Below are 21,953 nucleotides of genomic sequence, written 5' to 3'. Positions count from 1 at the left end.
AAATTATATGAGGGAATAGACTTCATAGGAAGGGATTTGTTCTTCCCAAGTCATTTATTGCTAGACTTATTGCCCAAACTCATCAGCAATTAGGACCAGGAAGTATGTTTATGATTTCCAAATGTTATACATGTTAATTAGGTTGCTTATTCATTCATTTTAAAAAACATTTATTTAAATGTTGTATATGCACGATAGTGTAGTGGTTGGTATAGGTTTTGAACTAAAGACTGAAACAAGCTTGAATCTGCACTCTACCCTTATACAACCTCTTTGCCTCTTCTTGATCATCAGTAGAATGGTGTTGTTAAATCTATCTCATAAGGCTGAGGATAAAATAAAATATTCAATATACGGTGCATGGCTCAAGAAAAAAGGGACTTTTTCAGAAAACAGAAATATCAGGTATAGTATTATTACCACTATTAAGTATAACGAATCAGACTTTAGAACCTTTGAAAGTTAAAGGTTACTTTTGCATGATATGAGACCAATTTCTAGAAGGCTTGGTATTTCATAAAGTAATCTTAAAAATAATATCTGCAAAGTGAGTTTATGATGTAGAATGTAATTGCTCTTTTGTAGGTGCAAGGAAAGGGAAGTATTCATTAGTATTTAGAAGGGTCTATAGTTTTAAGGATAAATATTGTGATTAAAAATTATTTATTCATTCATGTAATTTAGAAACAGGGTCCTGCTCTGTTGGCCAGGCAGGCGTGCAGTGGCATGATCATAGCTCACTGCAGCCTCAAACTCATTGGCTCAAGTGATTCTCCTGCTTCAGCCTTCTGAGTAGCTGAGACTACAGGCATGAGCCACTGCACCTGGCTAAATACTGCAATTGTATTAGTTAAGCAATAGAAGAAAAAGAGGTAGGCCAAAGAATCTTTAAACAGAAAATAAAAGGGCAGAATAGGATTATTCACAAAAGGAATATGGGGTGTGTTATATTTTTCAGGAATGGCAGTCTTATTTATAAGAGAACGCGCTATAAAAGAAAATTCACAAAAATCTTTACAGTTTCTTGAGAGTATCATTTATGGCATTTTGGTCCAATAATGTTTTACTCTTCATATTTAATAATTTAAAATAAAAACTTATAATTTCTTTATGTTGCCTCCATGTAGAAGTATTAATGTAACAATAGCTCAGTCTAGAAGAAATTTTTAACACATAGAGCCTTATGGGCACAGAAACTTCTGTCATTAAACAGACATGATAGAAAATAATAAAAGGAGAGCAAAAACCATTCACCAAAGAGAAAAGATGTCACACTGTGTTCCTAAGATAAACTGTTTACTGTAGTTAAAAGAAAATATTAACATTTAAACATATTAATATTTCAGAAGAATTCTTGAAAGTATTTTATAGTTCCCTATCAATATTTGTGATATTAAAGAAAATTATGACAAAATATTTATTTTGTTATTGTCATTTCCTTTGGAGTTGATAGGCAAATAATCACTTAAATCCCAAATGAGACCCTAAAAATCAGAATAATTATTTTCATGATTTTCCTGTGTTTTTCAGAGTGGGCTCCACAAAACAGTGTTTAATTGTCTATACACAGTTCGGAGAAGAAAGATTGTATGAACAAGTAAGCATGGTTTCAACAGAGGTAAAGAGATTTCTTCTAATAATAATAAAAATCAATCAGTATGTTCCAGGCATTGTTGTAAGTACTTTTTAGATTTTAGCTTCATTTTCAAAACACCCTTTTGAGGTAGGTACTGCTATTAACCCCAATTTACAGATGGGAAAACTTAGGCAAAAAGATATAAAATAATATGACCACGACCACAGTGATATGATGCAGTGGGGATACTGGGATTAGAAACCAGGCAGTAGAGCTCCTGTGCTTATGTTCTTAATGGTGACACGCTGCTGTCTCTCACCAAACTATTAGGAGTCTTTAAAATATAAATACGCACTTAAGTCTTAAAGAGGAGGATACTGCATGAAGCATTCACTTTTAAGAAATTCTTTTCTTCCCAGGTATTTTCACAGAATCATTGCACTTTAGGACAACAATCTGGAGAACAGTTACAGAATAATCAAAGTCTGATTTATCCTCTTTCAAAAGCTTTTCTAAAATACTCTGGAGTCAGGTTCTTTGGTTCTATTACTTGGTGAACGAAAGGAAACAAAAAATCATTTGAGATGGGAGATGATCAACAACACAAATAAATAAAACATGTACTATTAATATATTAGATAGTAAGAGCTGATGAAAACCTGGTGATAGAGGAGAGAAAGCAGATATGAAAGGTTAGAGAGGAGTGATGGTAAATAGTGGATATCTCAAAGATAATAATTTTGAATAAAAGACCTGAAGAAAGAGGCTGAGCTAACCAAGAGACTATCTGTGGAAGAATTCCAGGCAGAGAATGTGGCATAATTAAAGGCCCTGAGTAGAGAAGTGTTTCTGGTATTTTCAACGAACTTTAAGGAAATTAGCGTATCTGGCACAGACATGAACAAAAGGAAGAGTAGAAATGAGGTCAGAGAAAAAATGAGGAGCCAGATGACATAAGGCTTTGCAGATCACAGGAAAAACATTAGCTTTACTTCTGAGGTAAACAGAAGCCACTGGAAGATTGTGAGCAGGAGCCCACTTAAAAATATCAATGGTATCACTCTAGCTATTGTGTAAAGAATAGGCTATAGTGAGCAAAAGTAGAAGAGAGAGACCAACTAGGAAATTATTAAAATAATCTGGGTGAAAGATGATGATGGCTTGGACCAGAGTGATGGTCCTGAGGACGGTGAAAAGTGAAAAAAAATTACATATATTCTGAAGGGAGAGGTTATAAAGTTGCTGAAAGATTGAACCTAGGCAGTGAGAAAGAAGAGTCAAGGATGTCTTAAAGATTTCTGGTCTGAGTACCTGGAAGAATATGATTGTCATTAACAGGTGAATTTGGGATTCACCAGTATAGATGATACTTAAAGCCACCAGATGGGATGAAATAAGGTATGTAGTAGGTATAGACAGAAAAAAAAAGCCACCTCAACAATTAGAGGTTTGAAAATGAGAAATCAGCAAGAAAACTGGAAAAAGAACAAGAGTGAAAGGTGAGTATATTCTGAGTCTTTCCCTAGAATATGAGAGAAAGAAGTGTTTCAATAAAGAGTGGAAAATTGGGTGCAATACTAATGGCAGGCAAAGTAAGAAGAGGACTGAGAATGGATCACGCAATTTAACAACATAGGGTCATTCATGTTCCAGAACAGGGTGGTTTGCTGGAGTGATGGAAATAAAATCTTACTGAAACATGTTTAAAGGGAAATGGGAAAGAAATTGGCAGCACTTTCAAGGAATTTTGCTATAAAGGAAAGAACCAACATAGGACAGTGGTTAGAGGGGAAAATTGGGTGCAGAGGATTTTTAGAATCTGTGCTCTTAAGCACTATGATACACCATTTCATTTAATAAAACTGAAAAAATGGTCATCAAGGAGCTCAGAAGGTAGCAGAGGAGTAGAAATACAATTAATTGTATTATTCAGGTTCAGTAAGAACAGTGAATCACAGCTTAAGTATTACAGGAGAACAGAAAAAGAAGAAAAGGAGGAAAGAAAGCTATCACAGAGATGTCTTCTAAACTGGATTTTAAAAAACCCAGAATTTCACCTTCCAGAGGTCCTGGAATGAAAGGATGGCAGAAATAGGGAGAAGAATATTCCAGGTAGAGAGAACAACTCCAAGAAAACACACAAAGTGTAAAAATAATGGCATGGGAAATGATGAATAATCTGGCGTGCCAGGACGGTGTGCATGGGCAGCTGTTCATGGTGCACAGGAAGAATGGGATGATGGATTAGGCTGGAATGAAAATTAATAACAGATTTGAAATGGCCTTGAATGCCACAATAATAGTTTAGGTTTGGGCATAAAGAATTATTAGCAAACATTTGAAACTTAGAAAAGTGACATGACTATTTGGGAAAGACAAATGATGAGAAGTTAAGAACAGATTAAAAAGGGCCTCTCTGTCAGAATAAAGCATGGTCAGCATGCTAAAAAGGAATCAGTATACTTTCTTTTAATAAAAGTGAATGCACTGGATCTAATTAAAATTCTACTCAAGTGAATCCAACAACACCCACATGCTTCTCCAAAAATGCAATTGTAAGAACATGGTTTACTTGTAACACTTTCCAAGGAAGCAGCATTTTGGAGGGAGATTTTAGAGAAAGGTGAAGCAGAGGTATACTAAATAAATGAAAGCAAACACATGCAGGACAGATTGTACCAAAATTCAGTTTCTCCATAATCACAAAATATTTATGAAATTATTGTAACATTATTATTATTTTGTGCCTTTTGTATGCTAATACATATTGAAAGACTTAAAAGATCAACATAAAATTTTGCTGTAAATAGCTATCATTTAAGGGAGCTCCAAAAAATCTTCAAGTTACTTTTCAGTTTAAAAGATACCTTCTAATTTCAACTTGACCACACATTATGGATTAAATGATTATCTTTAATTTTGTGAGATAGTTTTTAAGATCACTTTCCTATTTGATTATAACAAAATCACAATTAAAATTAAACTAGGTAACATAATTATAGGTAGCAAAATACTATATATATTTTTTGTATAGCTGTATACATTTCTTATTATGCAAGAGAATAATAAAGTGAAAAAAGTGTACAAATTGGATTTTCCCTGTTTTCTTTCCAAGTGTTTTAAAAGAGATTTTTAATCCAAGAAATTCCTTCCTTGGCATTTTATTCCCCTTAGAAAGTTTCTATTATAGATAAGTACTAATTGTAAATAAATTTCCATAAATTATTGAGTTTTAACATAAATGGGCTAAATCACAATTATAAATAATAAAGTTAAAATGTTATCCTTAAATCCCTGAAAAAGGCTTACTTCTAACCTTAGGCTATATAAACAATTACACTTAAAGAACTTTCAGGATAATGTTTCAATTATTCTAAAACAGTATTATTACTGGAAGATGATTTATTTTAGCTAGCAAGAAAAATAAAGAAAATGGAAAAGAAGTAATTAAGTGACCTTATTTTCTGTCTTTAGTACTATTGCTGGCCAGTAATTCCAATAACCTTGATTTACAATGCTAATACAAAGAGCCTTGCAAATCAACTCATATTAAAAATATCTCAAAGAGAATTTACCATTAAAAACAAGAATGGGATGGTGAAAATCTTTCTGGACTGTGAATTTAGTCCTGATCCTGGTTCTTTCAGGCTATATGACTTTAGACAAGCTTTTAACCACTTATTTTAATTTTTCTTATCATTATAATGAGGTGCCTATATTAGATATTGGAGTATAATATGTGGCTCAACTGACTGTGGGGTATAGCCTGATAAAAGATCAATATTTTAGTGATACTGAACAAAAGCAATAAGCGTTTACAAAACATGTGTAAGGCATAAAGAATGTAAATAAAACAAACTCTTGTACCCAACATCAAACTTGAGAAATACATTACTAGTATTAAATACCTTGATTTCTATATGTACTTCTCCTCTTCCCTACCTTATCATTCTGCCTAATAATCCACTGCTCCCCGCAACTCCCACAGGAAACTATGACATTGAATCTTGTGTTTACCTTACTTATGTTGTTCTTGCTTGTTTACCACATATTTATACTCCTAAATTATTCAGTTTTGCTCTTTTCTGAATTATATAAGTGGAACCATTTTATAGGAGTTTTTCTGAGATTTCAGTTAAAATTATATTCACAAGATTCAACCACATTGATGCATGTAGCTGTAATTCATACATTTGCATTGTGGTATATAAAATACTTCTATATACATGAATGTAATACAATTTATCCATTCTTCTATTAATGAGTTTTTTGTTCCTGGATTTTTGCTTTTATAAACATTGCTGCTATTGATCATTCTTGTAAAAGTTTCTAGAAGCAAACATGTAAGACTTTGTCTAATATATATATAATTAGGTGTAAAACTGCTGAGGCATGTATATATATTTTCCATTTTATTAGATAATGCTAAGTTGTTTTCATTTCATTGATCTTCCGTGGGTTTTTTTTCAGTCTCAATTTTATTTATTTATGCTCTGATCTTGATTATTTCTTTCTTTAGAATTTTGGATTTGGTTTTTGCTTTTCTAGTTCCTTGAGGTCATTTATTTCAAGTTTTTCTACTTTTTTGATGTAGGTGTTTATTGCTATATACTTTGCTCTTAATGTTTCTTTTGCTGAATACTATACAGTCTGGTATGTTGTCTTCATTTTCATTTGTTTCAAGAAATTTTAAGGCCGGGCGTGGTGGCACATGCCTGTAATCCCAGCACTTTGGGAGACCGAGGCAGGCAGATCACCTGAGGTCAGGAGTTTGAGACCAGCCTGGCCAACATAGTGAAACCCCGTCTCTACTAAAAGTACAAAAATTAGCCGGGTGTGGTAGCTTACACCTGTAATCCCAGCTACTGGGGAGGCTGAGGCAGGAGAATAGCTTGAATCCGTGAAGCGGAGGTTGCAGTGAGCCGAGACTGCACCACTGCACTCCAGCCTGGGCGACAGAGCGAGACTCTGTCTCAAAAACAAAAAAAAAAAAAAAAAGAAATTTTAAAATTTCCTTTTTAACTTCTTAATTGACCCGTTGGTCATTCAGGGTCATGTTGTTTAATTTCCATGTATTTGTACAGTTTCCAAAGGTTCTCTTGTTATTGATTTCTAGGTTTATTCCATTGTAGTCAGAAATGATACTTGATATGATTTCTACTTTTTTGAATTGGTTGAGACTTGTTTTGTGGCTAACATATGATCCTGGGTAATGATCCATGTGCTGATGAAAAGGATATATATGCTGCAGCAATTGGATGAAATGTCCTGTAAATGTCAGTTAGGTCCAGTTGTTCTACAGTGTAGTTTAACACAAAGTTTCTTTGTTATATTTCTGTCTGGCTAATCGGTACATTACTAAAAGTGGGGTGTTCAAGTCCCCTATTATTATTGTATTGCAATCTATCTCTCCCTTTAGATCTATTAATATTTGCTTTATATATTTTCATGCTCTGGTGCTGGGTGCACATACATTTACAATTGTTATATCCTGCTGAACTTACCTGCCTATCATTATATAATGACCTTCTTTGTCTCTTTTGGCTTGAAGTCTATTTTATGTGACGTAAGTATAGCTGACCCTTAAACAACATGGGGATTAGGGGTGCCGACATCCTATGCAGTAAAAAATTTGCATGTAACTGTTGACTACTCCAAAGCTTAACTACTACTAGTGTACTTTTGACCGGAAGCTTTACCGATATCATAGTGAATTAAAACATATTTGTATTTCACAGATAGTACAAGTTTTTTGCACAAGCTGTTATAGCTGCAGCAAAGGTGTTAGGAATTTCTTTTTCTCTTTTTACAGTAGTCCTTATGCTGGATTCATTTATCTTGAAATGGTGGGCAACCACAGCTGCAGACCTCAATCTATAGTACATATCAAGCAAATCAACTTTTTCTTGTAATGTCATGACTTCTCTGCATATCGGGAGCACTTCCAGGATCACTAATGGCACTTAATAAGGATATCATGGTATTGTTATTCAAGGTTTATGGTACTGCCCTAAAGACAACGAAAAATAGACAAGAACTGTGAGAGATCACTTTTTACTGATACACAGTCCACTGGAGAAACAAACTGCTCACAGAGATTTGCAACACAAAGTGTTTTAAACGAATACTCGCAACACTTGAGCTCAATACAATGCTAATAAGAGGTGGCTATAAAATTATTACACTATATACTATAGCTAATTTAATGTGGTTATAATTTAATATTTCATACTTACATTAGTTTACATTTCTCTTGACTGTGAATAGTGCCACATATTGTCTGTGTTTGTGTGCATGTTTTTATATAAATTTTGACTTTTATTATAGATTTGTATATATTTTATGGTAGTAAATGGTAAACAATATGTATATATTTTATGCATTCAAGATAGACCTCATTTTCTTAATTTGTTGATATTTTTAGGCTACATGGTTTGTGTGTGAGTTTATTCAATTGTCACAGGTCTCAAATATATTTTCCAATGTACTTATTAAAAAAATACTGCATATAAGTGGACTTGCACTTGGGTTTTGCTTTTCTAGTTCCTGGAGGTATACTATTAGGTCGTTTCTCTCAAGTTTTTCTACTTTTCTTGATGTACATGTTATACACTTTGCTGTTAATATTTCTTTTGCTGAATTCTATAGAGTCTGGTATATTCAACTCTGTGTTGTTCCAGGGTAACTGTATATAGCAATACCTGGTTTCCATTTGAATGGAGTATCTTTCTTCCATCTCTGTACTTTTGGTCTATGTGTGTTGTCCTTACAGGTGCAGTGAGCTTCCTGTAGGTAGCATGTAAGAATGGCTGGGTCTTGTTTTTTTGATCCATTTAGCTACTCTATATCTTTTAATAATTTTGTCAATTTACTTTCAATGCTATTGATTGGTAAGGAATTACTACTGCCATTTTGTTACTATAAAAAAGCTAAAAAAACCTCTATAACTCCATCACCCCCACATTTTGACTTTTTGATGTCTGTTTACTTTTTTATGCCTATCTCTTAACAAATGTTATGATTATTATTTTTGATATATGTCTTTTTGCCTTTATACCAGGGATATGAATTGCGTGGCGTATCACATTTACAGTATTAAGAGTCTTCGGAATTTTGTCTGTGTACTTACTTTTACCAATGAGTTTTATACCTTCAGCTGATTTTCCTGTTGCATGTTAGCATCCTTCTCTTTCCGACTGAAGAACTCCCTTTAGCATGTCTTGTAAGACACCTCTGGTGGTAATAAATTCCTTCAGCTTCTGTTTATCTGGGAGAGTATCTCCCTTCATATTTGAAAGATAGCTTTGCTGGCCACCATATTATCGGTTGACAGTTACTTTGGCACTTTGAATGTCCTCCCACTTCCTCCTGGCCTGAATTTTCCACTGAGAAGTTTGTTGCCAGATGAATTAGAGCTGCTTTTCCCTTGCTGCTTTTTTGATCCTTTCTTTGTCTTTTACTTTTGAGATTTTGATTATTATATGTCTTACAGTAGTCTTATTTGGGTTGAGTGCAAAAGTCTTTAACTTTCCTACATTGAAGTATTTGTATCATTTTCTGAGTTTAAAAGTTTTCTGTATTATTTCCTTGAATAAGCTCTCTATCCTCTGCACTTTTTCAACTCCATTTTGAAGGCTGCTATAGTCTGAATATTTGACCCTTCCAAACCTCATGTTGAAATTTGATCCCCAATGTTGGAGGTGGGGCCTAATGGGAAAAGTTTAGGCCATAGGGGCAGACCTTTCATGAATAAGTTATTGCCCTCCTGGGTTGGGGGACAGTGAGTGAGTTCTTGCTCTATTAGTTTCCACAAGACCTGGTTGTTAAAAAGAGCCTTGGCACCTCCCCTCTGTTTTGCTTCCTCTCTTGCCATGTGGTTTCTGCACATGCTGTCTATACTTTGCCTTCTGTCATGAATGAAAGCAGCTGAGGCCCTCTCCATAAGCCAAGGAGATGTTGGGACCATTCTTCTTGTATAGTCTGCTTAACTGTGAGCCAAATAAACCTCTTTTCTTTATAAATTACTCAGCCTTAGTTATTCCTTTATAGCCACATAGAAATGGACTAATGCCATGACTTAAATTTACTCTTTTGAGGTTATTTTTTAGGCATACTGCATTCTTTTTTTTCTTTTTTTTTTTTTTTTTGGTCTCCTCTGACAATGTATTTTCAGATAGGCTGTGTAGGCTGTAGGCTACTTTCTTTCAGCACTTTGAAGACATCACTGACTTCTAGCTTCCACTGTTTATGCTGAGAATTCAGCTGGTAGACTAGTTTAGTTCCTTTAGGGGTATTCTGCTTCCCTCCTTCACTCCTCTCACCTCTGGCTGCTTTAAGAATTTTCCCTTTGTCTTTATTTTCAGCAATTTTACTCTTACGTGTCTAGAACTTTTCTTTTTACTTCATCATAAGATTTGTGTACTTCCCAAATCTTAAGATTGATATCTTTTTGTCAGGATTGAAAAATTCTTAATATTGCTATTGCCCCATTCACTGTCTCATCTTCTTCTCAGACTGCAGTTAATATATACATGAAACCTATTCCCTGTATTCCACATAGCTCTTAGTCTTTGTTTTCTATTCTCTAGCTTTTTTTTTTGTTTTTTGATCCCTCATTGTAGATATTTTCTTCTGATCTTTCAGTTCATTAATTATTTCTTTAGCTGTGTCTAAAGTGCTGTTAAGACTATCCATAAATTTCTTGATTTTAGTCATTTTCTTGTTCAGTTCTAGAATTTTCATTGGGATTTTTTTAATGTTTTGGTTCTCTGACAAAAAATATTTTATTTCAATGTGCATATTGAGCATAGTTCTTTAAATTAAACTTTCAATTTTAAAATAATTATAAAATCACATACAGTTGTAGGAAAGAATAAGGACTGGTGTACTCTTCATCTGAATTTCCACAATGTCTCATGACAGTAATATTCAGGATACTGACGTGGATGCAGCCAAGATACAGAACACTTCCATCACCACAAGGATCACTCATGTTGCTGTTTTACAGCCATATGCACTTCCTGCTTACTCCACCCTCTTTTCCTACTTCAGCAACCACTAATACCTTGTCATTCTATAATTCTGTCATTTCAAGAATGTATATAAATAGAATCATATGGTATATAACCTTTTGGGATTGGCTTCTGTTCATTCAGTATAATTCTCTGGAGATTCACTCAGGTTGTTGTGTGTATCCACAATACTTTTTGTTTTATTGCTTAGTATTTCATGGCATGGATTATTACAGTTTGCTTAAATACTCACTCACTGAAGGACATCTGGGTAGTTTTCAGTTTGGGTGACCAGGAATAAAGCTGCTACAAACATTTCTGTACAAGTTTTTGTATAAAGGTAAGTCAGCTTCTATTGATTATTAAAGGTCTTTTTTATTGCTGGGACTTCCAGATTCCCATGTGATCTCCACTGACACCCTGATAGGGGTTACCTTGTTACTGCTGAGTGATGGTGAAAGTCCTAACTCTCTACTAGGCCTTCCTTGATACCAACCACCCTAGTAGGGGAAACGAGGGGTGTCATATGGCTGGCTGGGTAGGAAGTGCAGGCCTCTCACATGGTCTGTATGACACTGTGGTAGTGGTATTGCGTTAATTTTTATCGCAGTTGGATACAAGTCCTAGTTTCCTACTCAGCCTTATCTAATACCTCCACAAACGGGTTATAAGGGAGTTTCATTACAGCCTGGCAAGGATGAAAGTGCAGGCTCTGTACTTCTTTGCCTTTGTTGGCATAGGTGAGAGTGGAGTCACAGGTTTTTCTGTGTGTGTGTGTGTGTGTGTGTGTGTTTCTATTTTTTTTTTTTTTTGCTATAGTATGGCAGTAATGCATAAAAGTTTTTCTAGGCCTGCCCGCTTCCTGGTCTTTCAGTTTTCATTTGAAATTTCTTTTTTTTTCTGTGCCTATTGGTGGTTCTAGATTACTACCTTTTTCAACTCCAATCCTGGGCTCTATGAAACAAAAAGAAAACCCGGGGGACTCGTACTGTGTTGTTCCTTCGGTCCGGAAACCCCTAGCCAGTCTGCTCTATTCTCTTTACCTTTTGTCTTTTTGTATTCATTTTATACATAATGTTCGGGGATTTAGTTGTACTTAGCAGGAAAAACAGAGAAAAGTACATCTATTCTATATTTCCAGAGTTGAACTCTCTCAAGTATAGTTATTTTAAGCCTTTCTCTGGCTTTCCTAAGGGTACATTTCTGTTGACTGTAGTTTATCTTTGATTTTGGTCATGTTGTCTTGTTTCATCACATAGCTAGTTATTTGGGATTGGTTTTGTAAGGTACTATATATATATATATAAGATGTTAGTGATAATTTGAGGCTTAGATTTACATTATTTTGTCCAGAGGGAATTTATTTCTTGTAGGCAGCTAGCAGAAGCAATAATCTGAAATACTTTAATTGCAGCTTGAGATAATTCAAAATGGGGCTTTACTCATTTCAGGACTATTCTAGTTCACTCTTAACTCTTACAGTATAAATCTTTAGGGGCCTAACTCAAAGTATGAGTGGTTTACTTGGCTTGCTCCCAAGTCCTCACCAGACCATGAACTCGAACTTTTGTTTCACTAGAACTGTCTTTCTATTGAAAGCTGTGCTCACCCTCTCTGTTGATGGGTGGACAGTTGCCTATTCCAGAACTGACAGATCCTGCTGGGGAAAGTGCAGCCATAAAAGCTGGGTTTACTTCTGTTGAAATCCCATTTCCTCTTTGATTTTTGTCCCATAATTCTTACCTACTTCAATAGGTCTCTGATGTTCACAAACCAAGTAAAAACAAATTTAAACACACACACGCATGTGCACACACATCTCTGGCATGGTTTTGTTTCCTCAGAAGTGAGGTTAGTCCTAATTATTTAGTATGTTATTGAAAGCAGGCTTCAATCATTTCGTTTGGTTTTCACATAAGCCATCCTGACTAGAACATAAATTGTTCTTGTGTGGAAACCATTACCTATGCATCCAGAATCCCCAGGACCTAACATGTTGCCTGTCACACAATAAATAAATTCTGGATTAAAAAAAAATAACATGTACAAATCTTGATAACTAATTATGTGGTCTGATGATAAAAGTAGAATCAAGTATCATTTCTAGACTTCTAATGTTTGATAACGGTCATGTCATTTCCAGAAATAACACCTGTTTATTAGAAGTCAAGAGAAAGAAGAAAAGAATAGAATTGGTGGGAAGAGAACATTGGTTTTGGAGGTAGCTGACTGATGTATTTGTGAGGTATTTAAGTGAAGTTATTCAGATGAAAATGAGAAAGTGGATGTGGACTTCTGAAAAAGAGATGGGAGCTAGTTACATATTTCAAGAGTCATTTGTAGTAAGGATCCTAAGAGAAAGAGGAAATATAGAGATAGGAGCTGCATATAAAACATTAAAGAATGGCTAGATATAACTAGGGGATAGAATAATAAGAAACTGTGAAGAAAACATATGAGTGCTCAGAGTAGAAAAATGAAACTCAGAGAATACAGAATAATGGAAGATAATGAGGAAGAGATTTTAGAGAAAAAACAATTACCGACATGGTCAAATGTGACTAAAAGGTCAATGGGGCTAAGGAAGAAAAGTCTTCTAATAAATACGAGCTGTCTTCTGAATACTAAAGGAACACAGGCATGTGGAGCGTTGGAAAGTATTGAGTTTTTAAGTGAGAAGAAAGGTTTAGAAAAGAACAGAAACAAATTTAAGAAGTCATAAAGGAAATAAACACATGAACAGATCTGAGGTCTTTAAAGAAGGCAGGTAGTAAATATTTGAGTTGACATGAATTTGCACAATTTTATGGCTTTTTTCAACAAGGTTAGCATCTTAGGGTAAATATAAGAGAAGGAACTAGTTTTCAGGAGCACATGAAAAATTCAGTTTTAGACATTTTGATGATTTGGAAAAGAGAATGGAGACTGAGATACAGATTTGGGAGTTATCTACATAGGAATGACAGTTGAAAACAGTCTGTGTAGGTACTTGTATGTAGTAACTTCTATCCGTAAAAAGTGGATATTTTTTCTTACAGAGAAGTAATAGCTAATCTAAAAATCCCTTTTATATCTTTTCATAAATGTGAATTATTTTTGAGAACCTGAAAATTGCCTTATTTTAATTTGTAGAATAATCCTATTATACCAAATAACTATCAGAATCCTAAAATTGTAATTAGCAAGAGAACATTCATAAAGCATGCCAGAATTACAAATGTATGCTTGAATACAACAGTTGTTGAACCAATATTATGAAAAAAATTATCCTACCCCTTGCTTTTCTGTATAAATAGTGCATTATTTAGGGGCAACAGGAATAAAACAAAACATATGTAGTGCTAGTATTCTACTAGCAGAGACCTGAAGGGCTATAATAGTTGTTTGTGATCAATATCTGTTCTAATTAGAGTTAAGTGTTTATGCTATAATAGTTGTTTATGATCAATATCTGTTCTAATTAAAGTGTTATGCTGTTTATGAAACATTCTAAATATGACTCTTGCTCATATAATATCGTCACTGAACTATTTAATATTTTAATACTTCAAAAATTCTAAAGTACATTTTACATAGATTATTTTATCATTACAACAAGCTTTCAGGACAAGAAGGAATCATTAGAGCCCCCACTTTAATGATAATTAACCTAAGATACAGTTGTTGTGTACTTGTTATTGACATTATGCTCAAATTCAAAGTTGCTTCTACTAATAACAGTGACCCTGCATAAATTCACCTGAAGACTAAAAGTCACTTTACTTACAATATAACATAGTTATTCTTATTAAAATAAAATCCTCATACCATTTGGTGATGCCATAACAATCTTTAATAATATCCTGAAGAACAGCACGATAGAAGAGTGATTCAGTAGGCAGCTGAAAAAAATGTAGACATATATAAGCACAAGAAACAAAAAAAACAGAAATAAAATAAATACCAGAATGTTGGAACCACACGTGACTGTCAGAAACCTTTGTTGCTAAACACAGAGGATGACTTAATAATTTTTCCATTACGAGCGAAAGTGTTACCCTGAGGCTAATTCTCATTGTGAAAGTAATTCTGAAAAAAAAAAAAAAAGAAACCATAAAAGAAACAGTAGTGAATAAGAAAGAAAAGTTATAATCAATGAACAATAAGCTAATGCCCAAATAGAGTCCTTACCAGTTAAAAATGAGAAATACTTTCAAGACCAACCAAGTCAGCTCTGGAGCATTTAAGAGTCAGGAAGGATATGTGTGAAAAAGAAGAGAATGTAGATTTGTCTTAATGGAGGTGGAATAAAGATAATAACAGCTAGGAGTCACAACAAGAAAGAAATAACTACCCTAAGTAAAGAAATACAAAGATTGTCTGAGGTCTGAAAGACAGTACTGGTTACTACAGAGTTGAAAAGTAGAGCCTTGGAAAGAACATAGGATAAGAGATTGCACTCTTGACAATGCTTCACTTCTTGCAGAAAGAGATATGGGAGATGTCCCATAAAGGTTCAAAGGTTTTTGAATGGAAAGAAGCAATAGCTGAAGAGAAGGGCTCCAATGAAGCACGATTGTTTTAAAAGAGCAGAAAGTAAAACATTACTATTTATAAAAGAGCACTTCACTGCAGCAACAGAATTACTCAAACTAAGAAACAAGTCACCAAAACCCTATGCACATCCCCACAGATCTCGATATTGATAGTATAGGAACATCCAACACAAAATAATGTCAGCAACAACAACCCAGCTTGCATGTAGTTATTATTTTTTTAAAAAATGAGTAAGAATAGAAGGAGGACAACAATACGGAATGCTTTTAAGAAGTCAAATAAGGTAAAACTGAAAACTGTCCAATGACTGGTAAAGTTTTAAAGATATAATTCAGTAAAACGTGTATATCCATGGAGTTATCCTTTTGTAACTTTTATTATCCTTTGGAGTCCAAAACTGTTATTTTCACATGTTTTCAACTAGAATAAATATGTTTTAATTAATTCAGATGGAGTTTATAGCAAAATAAATTTTTCGTGCTCAGGCAGAAAACCTACTCTACTGCCCCTCTCCCTTATTTAACATTAACTTCCCATACTGTGCTGCTGAGACTACAAAAACTAAAAGTTGTGAGCTGAGGGTCAATCATTTTCCTTACATCTTCCCCTGATGGCACTGCCCTCTGAAGTCGCTAGTGAACACAGACTTGTAGACTCTTAGAGCATTGTGAAAGAATACAGGTTCTACCACTGTAAAGCAGGAATAGTGGGGATGGTGTTACAAATATCACAGTCCCCAAATAACTGCTAAAATAATTCACTGAAGGTAGACTCATATACATGTTTGAGTGCCCACACTAAAATTTGTAACTTTTCAAAGGCACAATTCTTATATAAAATCTCTTTCCAAATTTGTCACAAATGCCTTCACTTGAGGAAAAAACGATGGATTTCAAAACTTAACTTTCCTTAAAAATTACATCAAAACATTTCATTTAGAATTTCTTAATCTCTGGATATATTTTCCATTTGAGATTTTCTCATCTTGAATAACTTTTTCTACAGCACCAAAATCTCTACTTTATCATCTGTCCCCCACTTTCTTAAAAATCCTTTCATTTATCTCATAAAAATGCTGAAATACATTTTCAATATTAATACCTATTCCTATAACATTTTATTGAAATTCAAAGTCACTTTCGCAAGTCTACTATTGCATGAATTTAAATATTAGTACTATAAATGGCTTACAAAGTTCTTAACTTTTGGTTTGACTAGCTATAATAGGTAAGTTTAATTTTATATGAAACGCCTAAAAATAGTTAAAATCTCTTCTTTCTCATGCCTTTGAACAAATTACATTAAATGGTATCAAGATAACTTTGAAATAAATATGTATTTATATTGTTATTAAAATGATTGTAAAATACAACAAAAAAGAACAAGTTCATTTTAAACAAGATAACATAAAAAAATGAATGCACAGAAAAATACAGCAGAACAGAATAAGTCATCATTCTCAAGTTACTCTGAGTAAATAAGAGCTTTACAGCTGTTTCCTAAGAGAAAGGGAAGAGGTTATAAAATACCTTCAAATGTGCATTACTGGAATAACTAAGTCGGACTACCTATCCTGGTAAATACAAATGGGTAAGTGGAAAGGGAATCAGTATCTCCTGAACAGTCTGTGCCTGACTATTCCAAGAACAAACTGGATGTGGCCAGAGTTTACTTTATTTCCCTTAAGTGATACATTAACATTTTAATGCATTTTTAAAATGGGAGGGAACACAAAGTGTATACCCTTAAAGCATGTGTATCAGACATGCATTTTACAGGTCTAGTGGAAAGGGCACTAAGTTGGAAGTCAGGGCTCTGCAATTAATTAAGGGAACTAGAACACACTATTAAACTTTTGCTCTATATCATTCTCATGCAGGTTTAGGATAATACCCAACTAATAAGATTGAGTGTAAGTATGAGCAAACACTTGTAAAATTAAAAAAACACCACATGAATGCATTAGAGTATTATGATAAAAGCTCTCTTTTTTCCCCCAGACCTCTAGAAAACCATTAAGTTGATATGCAGTATAGTAGTTAAGAGCTTGAACTGCAGACTCAGAGATTCAAGTCTTAGTCTTTGTTACCTTACAGTCTCTTCATGTGTATCATGGGATAGTAAGAGTACATACTATATAGTACTATGTATTTATTATCTCAATTGATGAGAAGATCTTTAAATAGTACTTTGGTAAGCTCTGTATTAAATTTAGCTATTATTTTCATGATCATAATTATTAATTATCTATAACAGCAACAACAGTTGGCATTTATTGAGCAATTACTATGTGTTAGACATTGTTTTAAGCATTGTACATTTTTCATTCACTTCATCCTAACAACCCTATAGGAAGGTATTATTATCACTCCACTTTTTTTCCCTATTTTACAGATAAAGAAATTAAGCTACAGAGAAATGATGACATGTGTCCAGGGTTATGAACTAGTAAGTGATAAAGACATGATGCAAACCAGTAGTTTGTAACTAAAGTCCCACACACTTAAAGTCCCCAAACTCAAATGATATGCTCTAACGCTAATGCCTTCAAAAGAATCAGATTTTATCAATTTTAAGATAGGCACAGTGTATATATTAAAAAGATAATTACATACAAAATGCTTAACAATGTTTCTGGCCCAGGGTAATCACTCAGTAAATGATACTTGTTATTAAAATTATTTTTTAAATTATTATTTTTAACAATTCAAATTGACACATTAATGTTCCTTGAACAAAAGCAAAAGAAATATTTCTAAACTTTAGGTTAAATTTAAAAATTTTATGAAAGGGTCCAAAAACTCTTAAAAAAATCTTAATGTTTCCTGAATACAAGGTAAAGGATAAGACAATTACATGGATATTTGGGGGATTATATTTAACTTCTATCTCTAAGTGCAAACCCATTTGGCCACTGCAACTAATGGTTAATCAAGTCAGTAAAGAAAAAATTTATCAAACAATCAACTGAAGTATGTGTTTTGGACTATAGTTAAAATAATGCACTGAATAATATAGGTTATCTTTGCTTGAACTAAGCACCTAAAAACCTAATTGTCAACAACAGCATTCTTCAGAAATATTTATAGACTGTTTAGTATAATACAAAGAAATGAGTAGTATAAGAGCATAATGCAGACATTTTCCTAAAAGCTCAAAAGTTCTGAAAAGTTCATTTTGCTTTTAAAGTAAACTTACAGAAAATGCACAAATTTGAATATGCATCTGGGACAAGATATTTATTAAATTCCATTAGGTTTTAAGTTCATCAGCAGGTCAAGTATGAAGAGTACTTGAGAGAAAAACTGTCGTGTTCATCAGTTAACACTCTTACTTACCCCTTGGCCAGCTGCAACCCGCTCCAATGCCTTAAAGGGAAAAAAACAAGACAGATTGTTGATATATTGAGTCTTATAAGATTTATAAACACACTGTATAAGAGTTTGTAAAACTGACATTTAGAAAGATTAATTATGTGATAATATGTAAGTTTATGCACTTAACAGTGTTAATATCATTAAAGAATGTTAACTAATATGCTTGTGTAATTTAGAGCTAATTTATAATGGATGTGTGTCATATACACAAACACATATCCTTGAATGTCAATTCTAATTATATACAGTCCTTGAATTTCAGAAGGAATTAGAAAACAGGAAAGAAATGAAATGACATAGTCTTGGTTCATTTTTAGTGTAGCTAAAACAATCAAATAAATCCAACACTATTATTATGCACATATACAGACATAGATATATTTATATATTTTAACATATTTTCTCATAATTTTAATAAACATATGATTTCATCTTTTAGTGAACAAAAAAAATCCAGATTATAATTAAAAACTTATTTTGGAAAACTATATGTATTTTTGGTCTGTGTGATCTACAAATTCAAATCAAGTTCACATATGATCAAGTACCAGGTAGAAGAGAAAGTAAAACATATTTTTACAATTTTATATACACTGGTTTTTGCATTTATATTTATTTAAAATCCAAAATATTTTTTACAAAATATTTCCTAACATTTATAATAAATACTCACACTTCAAAATATATAAAAGATTTGTCATAATTTAAATATGGAATAGAGTATTCTGAAACTTTGAGTTTTTAGATATATTTCCAAATATATATAATTTTTAGCTAAATTTTATTAAAAAAGTTTAAATTAGGAAACATTTCAAACACAGAAAAGTAATAAATGTATAAGAGATGTGCATATACTTGCTATTCAAATTTAAAATACCCATATTTGCTTCAGGTTTTTATATTTTCATAAATGAAACTGTTTACATATAGCTAAATCACACACTTTTAAAATGAAAAGATAATTTACAATATCTTTTCATAAGTATAAGAGCAATTTTTGTAGATACACAAGATCACTATCAAGATAAGTTAACTTTCCTCAAATTGCATAGCTAGTTAGCAAAGAACTGAGCAAGAACTAAAAACCTGTTATTTGAATCCTGGTTTAACATGCCCTCACACCATGTGGAGTTAGTGGGAAAAAGAGTTCATTGCATGAAAACTGGCTTCACGGAAATGGTTTGAAGAAAAAAAATGTAATATTCCCATTTACTTGAAGGATACTTTCACTGAACATCTACAGCCAAGTAGAATGTTACGAATACAGGAGACAGCTATTACATAATTTTCATATTATGATAACAGCAACAGGTCCAGAACAGATTTATCCTTGAAGATAACAATGAGTTTTCATTTATGGTACTCCTTGTGCTAATTTCAGATTAGATTTTTCTTATAAATTTTCCTAAAGGCCAAACTGAATTAAAAAAAAATAGACTATTTAAAAAGAGGCGATTTGGTGTCCATAAAAATATCATATACCCCAAGACTGCTTTTGGTATGTGTTGCTGATAAGCTTAATTTAGAAATAGAAATAATAAATTGTGATTACATAATAAAAAATAATCAGGTAGGTGGTTACAAAGTGTTTTGCAAACATTAATACTATTCTTGAACAATGAACAAAGAGGATGAGAAAACATACCAAGCATTCATTTCATGCTACTCTGGAATAATTTAGAAGTTTTATCAGGCTTAACATATGCTAATGATATTGCTCTAATTTAATTAATATTTTGTGTCTGGTTAGTATCCTTAACTGTTTATCTGAAAGCATTCCCCAGAAAACCCAGCAAAGTATCTTTTTTTTTTTTTTTTTTTTAAAGAAGACCACTTAAGATTTGAATATTTTTCAAAAATGTCAGTTATGGAGCGAAAGGCAATAAAATAAGATATATTAAAAGAATTGTTCCTTAGATTTTCCAACATTACTTTGGAATCAAAAAAATAAGACAAGGTGGACATGGGTTGGGATGGAGCTAAGGAGAAGGGCATTCCATGGGCAGCTGACATTGATCAGGGCAAGTTAAGGCCAGCATGGTCTGCTAATTCTATATTTACAGAATTTATTTTCCAAAGTATTTGTTTTGGTTCTCTGAATGTTTATTTTAATAGAAATAATTCTTTTTTATGGATACAATCTATTCTTTTGTCTTTCTAAGGGATATTACATAGTTCTTTTCTTTTAGATAGTCTACATTTCTTCCCAGTTGCTTTTTCTTTTTTTAAATCTAATCTCTCTCTTTTTTTGTCAAGGGTATAACACTGGCTATGAGCATTTTGATGCTCAAGTTATCCCAAGAAGAAGCTGTCATTCTAACAAGACCTTGAACAAGTACCATTTACTAGAGAGTGAGAGAACAAGACAAATTTCCAGAAAAGTAATTTAAGTGGGGCTACCAAAGGAAATTATTATGTTAGCATAAATACATTTCTAAGATAATTCTAGTATATAACTTAGAACACTGGCACACTATTTCTTATATTGCTATGTAACAGGCATAGAAATAATGGGTCCTAAAAGAATTGGTTTATCTTGCAGTTGGACATTAAACATATTATTTAATCAACTGTATTTTATTTTATTTTACTTTGTTAAATATTTTATTGCATAAATTTAAAGTATACAACATGATGTTTATATATATATAGACAGTTCCCAACTTTCAACTTTGCAATAGTGCAAAAGTGATATGCATTCAGTAGATACTATAATTTGAATACTCATACAACCATTCTATTTTTCACTTTCCATACAGTTTTCAATAAATTGCATGAGATATTCAGCACTTTATTATAAAACAGGCTTTGTGTTAGATGATTTTGCCCAACTGTAGGTTAATGTTTAAGTGTTCTGACCACATTTAAAGTAGGCTGAGTTAAGCTATGATATTTGGTAAGTTAGGTATATTAAGTGCATTTTTGTCTGTAGTTTCAAGGTATGAAGGGTTTATTGGGACATAACCCCATCATAAGCTGAGCAGCATCTATATCTAGTGAAATGATTATAATAGGTAAGCAATTTATTAATAACATATCCACCATCTTACATAATTACTGTTTGTGTGTGTGTGCAGTAAGAGCACCTAAAATCTACTCAGAAGATTTCCAGTATATAATACAATAGTAACTATAGTCCTTACGTTGTACTTTAGGTCTCTAAATTTATTAATTCTACATAGCTGCAGTATTTTAATTTTCTGATAACACAAAAATCACTTACATTATTTAACTCATTTCTTTGTAAACTGACATAGTGCCATGAACAGAGAACATTATGGGCTAGAGTGTTCTAGGTCTGAGGGCACTAGTCAAATGCAGCACAATAAATGTTTTATTTAATTAGATAGTTACTTCATATCTCAATTAGCTTAATATTTTTCCCATTCTATAAAAATTTAGGAAACCAAACGATCTGCTATAAAGAAACACAAACCACAGAGCGTTGGATAA

At 32.9% G+C, this 21,953-nt stretch overlaps 1 protein-coding gene across 18 annotated transcripts in view; it reads right to left on the bottom strand.

Annotated features, from left to right (window-relative positions):
- The window catches only part of METTL25 (methyltransferase like 25), a 120,711-nt gene that overhangs the window by 26,054 nt on the left and 72,704 nt on the right, over window positions 1-21,953 (bottom strand). For 8 of the 18 annotated variants that reach the window (NM_001319675.2, NM_001347934.2, NM_032230.3 and 5 more), the window contains 2 exons: window positions 18,462-18,491; window positions 14,395-14,468 (listed from right to left, as the gene is read on the bottom strand). In NM_001319675.2, the coding sequence (NP_001306604.1) occupies window positions 14,395-14,468; window positions 18,462-18,491 (104 nt within the window). Of the gene's footprint in view, window positions 1-14,394; window positions 14,469-18,461; window positions 18,492-21,953 lie in introns of those variants that run through there. The other 10 variants (NR_144943.2, NR_144942.2, NR_144941.2 and 7 more) reach the window with 2 other exon arrangements.

This window comes from Homo sapiens, chromosome 12, assembly GCF_000001405.40.
Source record: "Homo sapiens chromosome 12, GRCh38.p14 Primary Assembly".
Classification (NCBI taxonomy): domain Eukaryota; kingdom Metazoa; phylum Chordata; class Mammalia; order Primates; family Hominidae; genus Homo; species Homo sapiens.
This window is presented reverse-complemented; position numbering and strand designations above follow the sequence as displayed.